Below are 10,872 nucleotides of genomic sequence, written 5' to 3'. Positions count from 1 at the left end.
GTTTTGGTTGCTAGAATCATGATTTATTTTGAGGGACTATCTCAAATGTTGAGTTCTAAATATTTCCAACTGGTAAAATCCTAGACACTAGGACTGTCACTGCAGTAAAACTGTCATGGCAATGGGCTTCAGTGAAAGAAAACCTTCTAAATTAATGCTGATTCCTCTACTTTCTGTGACTAGCACCACTGAGTTTATAACGGTATGTGTGGTAGGTACATCAAACCATCACGTGTACCATTTAAATAATTACAATTTTATTTGTCAACTCTACCTCAATAAAGCTGGGGTGTGTGGGGGGAAATAAAGGTGTTTCTTTCTGTAATAAAAAAAGGTATACATGGATTCATTTTTCTTTAGACTAGAAAATAATAACTTACTGACTGAACCCAATGTGCAATATTCCAAACTGCCTGCCCAATATCCTTAGTTTCTAAGGATACCTGGTTTAGCATATCATCAAGGGCAAAGACAAAATTGAACAGAAGTACCAAAAGTAGTTAATCTATTTTTTAGTTCAAAATGTGAAATCGGCCTTACCCACTGCACCCGATGACTTTATTGTACAGATAAGATGGCAAGCCTTTCAGGTGAATGTTGTTATCCACGTATACATACTGTAGTTCTCGAGATCGACCTAAATCTGGATTAGAAAGAAAAGTGCTGTAATTCCTATATACAGGCACCATTATAATGTGAAATATAAAATTTAATACATAGTATTAGAAATATTCGAAGATTTCTACTCTGGAAGAAAACCATAAAAAGTGTTATATAAAGTAAGTTATGGGTCAGCCTAAACAAGCCTAGTTCTGCCCCTTGATACAGATTCTTTGCTTGGCCAAACTTTAGTCAGGTTCCTAAACCTTCTTCTAGGTCCACGTGTGGACCCTGTAAAATCCAGTTTTAGCAAAGAACTCTGCTAAGTCAGTTTAGCAAGAACCCCTCACTTGGGATATCTGATTGGGTTCCTCCTTTCTCCCCCATCTCCTTGGTCTAATCACCCTGGCCTGTCTTCAGCAAGAATTCTATTTGGTCAGTCATCCCTTTTCTTGCCAGAACTACATATTGTCTCCTTATTCCTGATGTTGCCTCTGAGCAATTTTCCATCCAATGACCACCTTGCTCCTTGGCTGTAAATTCCTACTTGCCCACGTTATATTCAGAGCTGGCCCAATCTCTTTCCCCAACTACAAGACCCAGTTGCAGTGGTTGCTGTACCTAGGCTGATGGTCTCAAATAAAGTCTTCCTTACTATGCTTTAACAAGTGCCACTGAATAACTTTTTCTTTAACACCTTATACAGAGATTTCCTGTGTCTCACCTCCCATGGGCAAAGGTGGATGGAGGAGGATTAGGGATCAGGCACTGGCTAGGCAGGAGTCTGAAGATCCAGGCAGATGTAGGAATAGACAGAACTTCCTCATGAGGAAGAAGTGAAGCAGAACCCAAATCCCAGTCCCGTGAGGTGTGACAGTGGCATAGACAAGACTTAAGGGCCAGAGAGCAGGAGCTGGAGTGGGTATGAACCTAGAAAGGGAGGAAGTTGAGAAAGGGGGCCCCAAAAGAAGGGCCTACAACAGTAACAAGAATGTCAGAAAGAGGCAGAATTCAGGTATTTCCCAGAGGTAGCAGGGCAGTGAGAGGGCAAAGAATGGAAGAGGATCCAGTGAGGAAATAAGGCTGAAAGTACGGATGGAGATTCCCGGCAAGTACAGGTGGTGGAGACACTTCTCAGATATACAGGCCATCCCTTCCCATGTGCCCAGGAATGTCCGACCAGCTCTCCTCTCCGCTCCTAAGCACTCACTGACTAGGGCTATTTGTCTTTATTGTCACAGAGGTACACAACAGAGTCCTGAGCAGTCTTGCTAACCATCTGCTCTTAAGAAAGAACATAATATGGCAGGGGTGGGGGGTGGTGGTGCTTATGCCTGTAATCCCAGTACCTTGGGAGGCCAAGACAGGCGGATTGCTAGAGCCCACGAGTTCAAGACCAGTCTGGGCCACATGGTGAAACCCTATCTCTACCAAAAAAATACAAAAAAATCAGCCAGGTGTGCTGGCATGTGTCTCTAGTTCCAGCTGCTCAGGAGAGGTGAAAGGATCGTTTGAGCCTGGGAGGTCGAGGCTGCAATGAGCCAAGATCATTCCACTGCATCCAGCTTGTGCAACAGAGCCAGACCCTGACTAAAAGTTTTAAAAAAAGAGAGAGAGAAAAAAGAAAGAACATAGTCTTTGAAAGGTTTTCTAGGGTTCTGCTTACAAACATAGAAGATAGGCTGAAGGAGAGCTCCTCCTCCTCATCTTTCTTTAGTTTAGGAAAGTCAAAGGCCCAGACAGCTGAATCAGGAGGTTTTTAGATTCATTTACATTGCAAATGAAAACCCATTTAACCATTAAGGACCTTCAGGCACTGTGCTAGGCCTTGGAAATGTAGCTATGAATACAGCATAACCGATGTGGAAACAGGAAAAACAGTAACTGTAATACAATACGATCACTGCTATTAGAGAGGCTGGTTGAAGGTCTTTTGCTTCACAAATGGGTTCTGGACAATTTGTCCCAGAAAGCAGGAGGAGCGTAATATAAAGTTAAGGTAAGAAAGAGTTCCTGTGGGAGAGGGTAGGGTGGGTTAACATTACTTCCTGCTGGTCTTACTACAATCATCCTGCCCAGTTACAAAAAGGAACCACAATTTCCCTCAAAAGGGTTACAACAATTTACACCCCTACCAGCTACGTATGAGAGCATCTGCTTCCCCATAGGAAGCAAAACATCACGTTTTTAAATTTTTGCCATCCTTATAGGTAAGAAAAGGTATCTTGACATTGTTTTAACTTGCATTTTTCTTTTTTTTTTTTTTTTTGAGACGGAGTCTCGCTCTGTCGCCCAGGCCGGACTGCGGACTGCAGTGGCGCAATCTCAGCTCACTGCAAGCTCCGCTTCCCGGGTTCACGCCATTCTCCTGCCTCAGCCTCCCGAGTAGCTGGGACTACAGGCGCCCGCCACCGCGCCCGGCTAATTTTTTGTATTTTTAGTAGAGACGGGGTTTCACCTTGTTAGCCAGGATGGTCTCGATCTCCTGACCTCATGATCCACCCGCCTCGGCCTCCCAAAGTGCTGGGATTACAGGCGTGAGCCACCGCGCCCGGCCGCATTTTTCTACTTATGAGTTTGAACATTTCAAAACTATGTCTGAGGGGCATTTATATACATTTTGTAAATTGCCTGTTCAAATATTTTTCTCATTTTTTGATCCGGTTTTTGGTATTTCATCCCTTGTTTTTTAAGAGTCCTTTACGTATCAGGGACATTGGTTCCATGTCTGTGGTTTATGTTATGACTACTTTCTCTCAGTTTGTCAGCTATCATTTAACTTAGCTGATGGTGTATTTTTGTCATGCAAAATTCTGAAAAGTCTTCCAATTTATCTTTTTCTAAATTGCCTCCAGAGTTTGAGTCGTAGTTAGAAAACCTCTTCCCTGTGACATCCAAGTTTAAGCAGAATTCACCGATGTTTTCTTCTAGTGTTTACATGGTTTCATTTTTCTTTTCCTTTTTTTAACAAATAGAGTCCTAATTTATTTGGAGTCTATTCTTATATATGGCATAAAAAGTACAGCTAATAATTCCTTTTTTCAAATGGTGATTCAGCTGTCTCAGTGTCATTTATGAACTTTTTAGTCCATTTTTACTCCAGTACACCAAAAAAAGATCTCTAAGACTAGAAGATAAAAACAATTATAAAGTGTGCAGATTCCAGAAGAGAATAACCGTGGTGTTAATTGAGCTGAAAATATGTAAAAAATAAAAGAGATGAAACCCCAAAGATTTCACAAAAAAAACTAGTAGAACATACAAATGAATTCACTATAGCTACAGGATACATTTCAACGTATAAAATTCATAGCATTTCTATATACAAATAACAACCTACCAAAGAAAGAAATCAAGAAAACAATCCCATTTATGATAGTATTTTTTAAAAATATCTAGGAATAAATGTAACTAAGGAGGTAAAAAGATTTGTACACTGAAAACTATAAAAAACTGATGGGAGAAAATGAATAATACACAAATAAGTGGAAAGATATCCAGTGTTCATGGATAGGAAGAATTAATACTGTCAAAATGTCCAAACTACCCAAAGCAATATACAGATTTAATATAAGGTCTATCAAAATTCCAGTGGCATTCTTTATAAAAGTAGAAAAAAATTTTCTAAAATTCATATGGAGCTACAAAAAAAACAAAAAAAAAACAACAAAAAAAACCCAAATAGCCAAAGCAATACTGAGACAGAAAAATAAAACTGGAGGCATCTCACTTCCTGATTTAAAATTATTTTACAAAGCTATGGTAACAAAAACACTATGATGCGGCATAAAAACAGAAACCTAGACCAATGGAACAGAACAGAGAGTCCAGAAATGAATCCAAACATAAATGGGCACCAAGAGGACATAACAGGGAACAGAAAGTGTCTTGAATAGATGGTGCCGGGAACGCTGGATTTCCACATGCAAAAGAATAAAATTGGACCCTTATCTGACACAATACACAAAAACCAACTCAAAATTGATTAAGAAACCTAAATATAGGACCTGAAACCATAAAGCTCCTAGAATAAAACATAGGAGAAAAGCTCCTTGACATTGGACTTGGCAATGATTTTTTCGATATCACACCAAAAGCTCAGGCTACAAAAACAAAAATAAAGGAGACTACATCAAATTAAAAAGCTTCTGCACAGCAAAGAAAACAATTAACAAAACGAAAAGGCAACCTACTGACAGGGAAAACAAATAACTACAAACCACATAACTGATAAGAGGTTAATATACAAAATTTATAAAGAACTCTTATAACGTAATAGCAGAAAAACAACTCAATTAAATAATGGGCAAAGCATCTAAACAGACATTTTTCCAAAGAACATATACAAAAGGCCAACAGGTAGATGAAAAGGTGCTCAACATCACTAATAAAGGAAATGCAAATTAAAACCACTATGAGATTATCACCTCATACCTATAAGGATGGCTATTATAAAAAAGATAAGAGATAACAAATGTTGCTGAGGGTGTGGAGAAAAGGGAACCCTAGTATGTGTTGGTAGGACTGTAGATTGGTGCAGCCATTATGGAAAACAGTATGGAGGTTCCTAAAGAAATTAAAAATAGAACTACCACATGACTCAGCAATCCCTCTCCTGGGTATATATCTAAAGGAGATACACAGTCATCGCCTCATAAAGACATCTGCACTCCCATATTCACTGCAGCATTATTCACCACATCCAAGATATGGAAACAATGTAAATGCCCATTGATGAATGACTAGATAAAGAAATGTGGTACATATACATAATGGAATATTTTTCAGCCTTAAAAAAGAAAGATTTATGCCAAACCTGGATGAATCTGGAAGACATTATACTAAGTGAAATAAGCCAGACATACAAAGAAAAATATTGCACAGTCTCACTTATATACAGAGTATTTTTTTAAAAAGAGCTCCATGCCTGTAATCCCAGCACTTTGGGAGGCCAAGGCGGGCAGATCACGAGGTCAGGAGATCAAGACCATCCTGGCTAATACGGTGGAACCGTCTCTACTAAAAATACAAAAAAATTAGCCAGGCATGGTGCGGGCACCTGTAGTCCCAGCTACTCGGGAGGCTGAGGCAAGAGAAGGGCGTGAACCCGGGAGGCGGAGCTTGCAGTGAGCCGAGATAGCACCACTGCACTCCAGCCTGGGTGACAGAGGGAGACTCCATCTAAAAAAAGACAAAAAAAAAAAAGGGAGCTCACGTACACAAGGAGATTGAAACAGGCGTTATCATGTGGGAAGAAGGTAAGGATGGAAAATAGCAGACATATAGGATGAACAAGTTCAGAGATCTAATGTACAACATGAAGACTATGGTTAATAAACTTGTACTGTATTACAGAATTTTGTTAAATAAATTTTTAGCTGCTCTTGTCATGAAAAACTATGTGAGATGATAGATATGTTCATTTGTTTGTCTACAGTAACCACTTTACTATTTATTTGTATCCCATAATATCGTGTTATAAACCTGAAATATACATAATAAAATTTACTTAAATATATATATACACACAAACTTCTTCAATGGAAAATAACACTGAACAGAGGTCATGCAATTTGGAAAGGAAAAATGTGTACCCCGCATACAGGTTTTTATTTATTTTTTTAATAGGTAATGGTTGTAATGAAAATATTTTTGATGAGTGTGCTTCCATTAAAGCTAGAGAAGTAAATTTACAATGAATTCTGGCTTTAGTATAAACAAAATATTTAAACTTAGAATAATGTCAAGTTTTAATACATCTACTTTCAGTTTTTGATATTTTTTCAAGTACTTTAATGCCCTAAAAAAATTAATGTTCTAGAAAAAAATCACAGGAGTGCACATTTTTCCTTTTGCCTTAGGCTTCAAATGTCTCAACACGGCATTGCCAGATCCTGTCTTGATTCAAATTTTTGCTATTTTGTTTACCACGGATTACTCTGCATTAATTTTATTTCTTATTGTATTAAAATGTAATTTATCATAAAACAAAAGTAAACAAGAGTCACTTAAGGCCAGAAGTTTAAGATCAGCTTGGGAAACAGCAAGATACTGTCTCTACAAAACAATTAGCTGGGAGTGGTGGCACATGCCTATAGTTCCAGCTGCTCAGGAGGCTGAGGCAGAAAGATCACTTGAGCCCAGGAGTTCCAGGCTGTACTGAGCCACAACTGCACCACTGCACGCTAGCCTGGGTGACAGAGCAAGACCCTGTCTCAAAACAAATGAATGAATGAATGAATGAATGAATGAACAAATGACTATTAGCTGGGCATTGTGGCCCATGTCTAGAGTCCCACCTACTCAGGAAGCTGAGGCAGGAGGATCACTTGAGCCCAGTACTTCAAGGCTGCAGTGAGCCATGACTACACCACTGCACTCCAGCCTGGGCAACAGAGCGAGACCCTGCTAAAAAAAAAATAAAAAGAGAGGCGTTAACCTAGAAGTAAGTCACTGAAGAGAATAATTTGCACACTGTGGGGATAAGAGGACTCATGTGTCTGACTATTCACTTACAAGGCATGTGAGCAGAGCTTCTGTTTGCTCATATGTTAAATGGTGTAACAGTACCTGGTCCCTCAATCTTATCGGTTGCAAGGTCACTGAATGTTTAAAAAAATTGTGATATTTAAATCACCATACAATATGTTTTTTAAGCATCAGCCTAGAGAATTACCAAAATATTGCATACTGTTAACTTAAGTAAACATGCATGGACATATCTATTGGTATAAAAGGCAATACATTTATAAAATATAGATGGGAAAACTATAAATACCAGAATCCACTTGCATAAAAAAGGCCTCAACAAGGCACTAAGATTTCCTATTTTAAATTTCTTCACTACTTCTCTGGTATACATAAAGAACTCTTACAACTCAATAGAAGAAAAACAATCGATTGAAATATGGGCAAAGCATCTAAACAGACATTTTTCCAAAGAACATATATGAAAGGCCAACAGGTAGATGAAAAGGTGCTCAACAAGTCCTATAGCCACAAATAGAAGACTTCAAAGGTACATAGAACACTTTGGAATATTTTTTCAAAATAAAACTGCGTTGATAAAATGCAAATGATCTCTGGTCTCAGATTTGTCTTTCAGAGCCCCTAGGGGGCTCACAGAAAGCAGAAAATACTCTTTACCTGGGTATATGCAATGGTAAGGGGTGTGGCATACTAGTTAAGAGAGCAGGAGCACAGTCTTGGAGTCCGACAACTGGGGTTTGAATCCTTGTTCTATTTACTAAATGTGCGGCTTAGTTTCCTCATCTGTATAATGGGGAAAATAAAGCTGTCCTCAGGTTTAGTGAGAATTGCTAACAAGGTTTACAAATTATCAAATAGCATTCTTGGCACATAACCTTCTCCAATATATGGCAGTTACTGTTCTCATTATTAGTAAGTGACATATTTGGAAGTACGGCCTACAGTAGAAGAAGGCCAGTTAAGAGAGAATTCTCTTTGGCATGCAGCAAATGGTAGTAACACTTTTCTATACTTTAATTGCACAGAGAAGAGTTGGAGGCAGCGGCCTCTAGAGACAATGATTCATCCCCTCAAACCAAGGGCACAAAATGGGACATGACAGAGGAAGCACCTCTTTTCTCTATACTGCAAAAAGAGCTTATGCAAATTAAATGAGGTGACATGCAAAGATCATACAATACAGTTAAATAAGAGCTGACACTTGCTACTTCTTACATAGTTTAGTCTTCTTTCCCTATGTTAATTTTATAGGAAAAAATGAGTTGATAATTTAAAAATGCTATTAGGTTCAGATCTTGTCTTAGCTTTTCAATATTCCACATAATTCAGTTTGCACCTCCTGGCTATTCTGAGGAAGGTAGTTTTTTATATATGCCCACCATGAAATAGACTATTTTATGTTAAAGCTGAAAGAAAATCAGTATCTGCTCTGTTCAGATGTATTATACATTAGCCAGCATAATGCCTCATGGACATGAGTATGTAATACAGACACTTAAACTTTCCAAATACACAATCTGATATAGAGTGGGGAGTGGCAGTACTGAAATTAGACAATGCAGTGGGTGATGGAGTCAGAACTGAGTCTGAATCCTGCTTCCTCACTTACTAACTGCTTCCTGACATGAAGGGAAATGAAATGTTCTGAGCCTGCTTCCTCCAGTGCAACAAGGGGATAAGAGTACCTTTCTCACAGACCTGTTATGAAGATTAAACAACGTATATAGTGCCCAGCTTTATTCCTGGCAAAATAATTGGTACTCGATACATCTTAGTCTTTTACCTCTTGCTTCTGAATACAAAGAGGAGATCACAAAACAGTGTGGGATGATGAAGAGAACCAGCAGGATGATGAAGAGAACCAGGCAGCTCTGCTGTTTTAGTTGGCACAGCACAGCCTGGTGGGGAGGCCAGGACACCGCAGCGCCGGGCAAGGTCACAGGCTGTAAAGGCGATGCTGTGATGGCCTCTTGAGAGCGTGAACCTGGCCAGAAGGCAGTCGGCTGGCAAAAACCCCCAAGCACAATGGAATGGCATTCGTAATCATTATGAGGCTGAAATACGAACGTGTACTTCATGAAAAGGCTTTGAGATGTTTCTTATATTCTTAAGATAAAAAACCCTTCACTCAATAATTAACTTTGGAAGAGATCACTCGTGTACTAACCACTGGGGCGGTTTGTTTTCTTCCTTTAATTACTATTAATGCACCGATACCTTACAATAGATACATCACGCAATAATATTTTTAAAGTTCCTGTGCAAAATTGCTCAGTATGTAAAATCTATAACGCAAGGAAGCTGTCCGTCGTACAGATGCTACAGCCACAAAGAACTTTTTCATGTGGCTTTTTAAAGTACTGTATTGTGTCCAAAATATTTCCTTTTTTTCTTCCAAACTCACAGATCAAAGTTTCTGACTTAGAAATTAGCAAAATCTAGGAGTCCTGCACAAGCTCCAATTCTGTTTGTTTGTTTGCTTATAACCTCAAGGCTCTGGCATACACAGTCCACATGGCTGAAAATGGAACAAAAAGCTCCTGTGTATTCAGGCTACTGCCCTTTTAACCATACTGTAAAAGCAAGCATGGAATGACAGCACAGGAGAGGACAGAACAGGATCTGTGTTTACTTCATGCTGACCAGTATGAAATTCATTTATTTTATCAAAAGGTGAATGGTATATTCTCATCAACAAAATGATGGGGCAAAAGAAACAACAACATCAAAGCAATCAATCAAAATAAATTATTTGGAATGCTCTATCAATGTTAAACCAATTATCATAGTTCAATAAATCAGAGATATTATTAGTCATAATTACAATGCTTTAAATACTATAAAATGTGGGCTTCTTAGTAATAAATTCAGAATAATTTACAGTGTATTCCAAAATAATTCTTAAAATGAATTTAAATTACCTACATGATGCTTTTTACAAAGAGAACCCTTCAACCACTTTCTCAGAGTAATAAATTTTTAAGTGCTAGCTTCTTTAAATACACACAAACACACAGACTCCATTAACTCTCTTACAAAGTCACTGTCTTTCTATTCACCTTTTACAAAATAAGACTTCACAGTGAATTATAATTTAATAAGATAACTTTACACATGGTAGATCATCAACTGTTAAATTAAAATAAATAGATTTTAATGAATTTGAATGACTGCAGGCTTCCTTTGCTGTGGGTTTAAATATTCATGCTGCAGAATCTCTATTTCTCTTGCACAGTTCAGGTAACAAAAAGATCACAAGGAATGGGCTGGGCACTGTGCTCAATGCTTGGGGTCCAAACATGAAGACACACAGTTCCTACACTTCCTTACAGTCTAGTTACAGAGTAAAACAGTTCATATTGACTGTATACTTATGTGGTATTTGTAAGTGATATGTGTTTTATGGATCTTATTCTCACAATCGTGCTATGAAGTAGGTGCTAATATTACCCTTTTACTGAGACTTCAATAACCTTCCGAAGTCCAAGATTCCACAGCTATCAAGTGGTAGAGCTGGGATTGAAAGGCGCATCTGCCTGTTTCACCATGACGGAAGTTAGACAGCCTCCCCCAACACATCATTCTGATACAAGCAGGGCACTCCCATGCAGGCCAGGGAGTGGTACTACCTAGCAGGATTCCCCGGGGGCTAAGGGTGAGAGAGCTGGTTCTTGCCCAAGGCATCCAGGTGTAGTATCAGAGTGGGGTCTTGAAGCAGACATTGCCAAAGAGATAAGTGAGGAAAAAAGTTTCTCTTTGCTTGCTTTAAAGGTCTAGAAAACT

The 10,872-nt window shown here is 38.7% G+C and overlaps 1 protein-coding gene across 25 annotated transcripts in view; it reads right to left on the bottom strand.

The window, feature by feature from the left end:
- Positions 1-10,872, bottom strand: part of LRRC28 (leucine rich repeat containing 28) — a 139,249-nt gene that overhangs the window by 37,718 nt on the left and 90,659 nt on the right. For all 25 annotated transcript variants that reach the window (NR_135755.2, NR_135759.2, NR_135757.2 and 22 more), the window contains one exon: positions 541-643. Coding sequence is in view for 18 of the 25 variants with exons in the window: in NM_001321675.2 (NP_001308604.1) it covers positions 541-643 (103 nt within the window). In the remaining 7 variants the exon portion in view is untranslated. The remainder of the gene's footprint in view (positions 1-540; positions 644-10,872) is intronic.

The sequence above is a fragment of the Homo sapiens genome, chromosome 15 (assembly GCF_000001405.40).
Source record: "Homo sapiens chromosome 15, GRCh38.p14 Primary Assembly".
Lineage (NCBI taxonomy): Eukaryota > Metazoa > Chordata > Mammalia > Primates > Hominidae > Homo > Homo sapiens.
The sequence above is the reverse complement of the archived record's forward strand: the minus strand, read 5'-3'. Positions and strand labels throughout refer to the sequence as shown.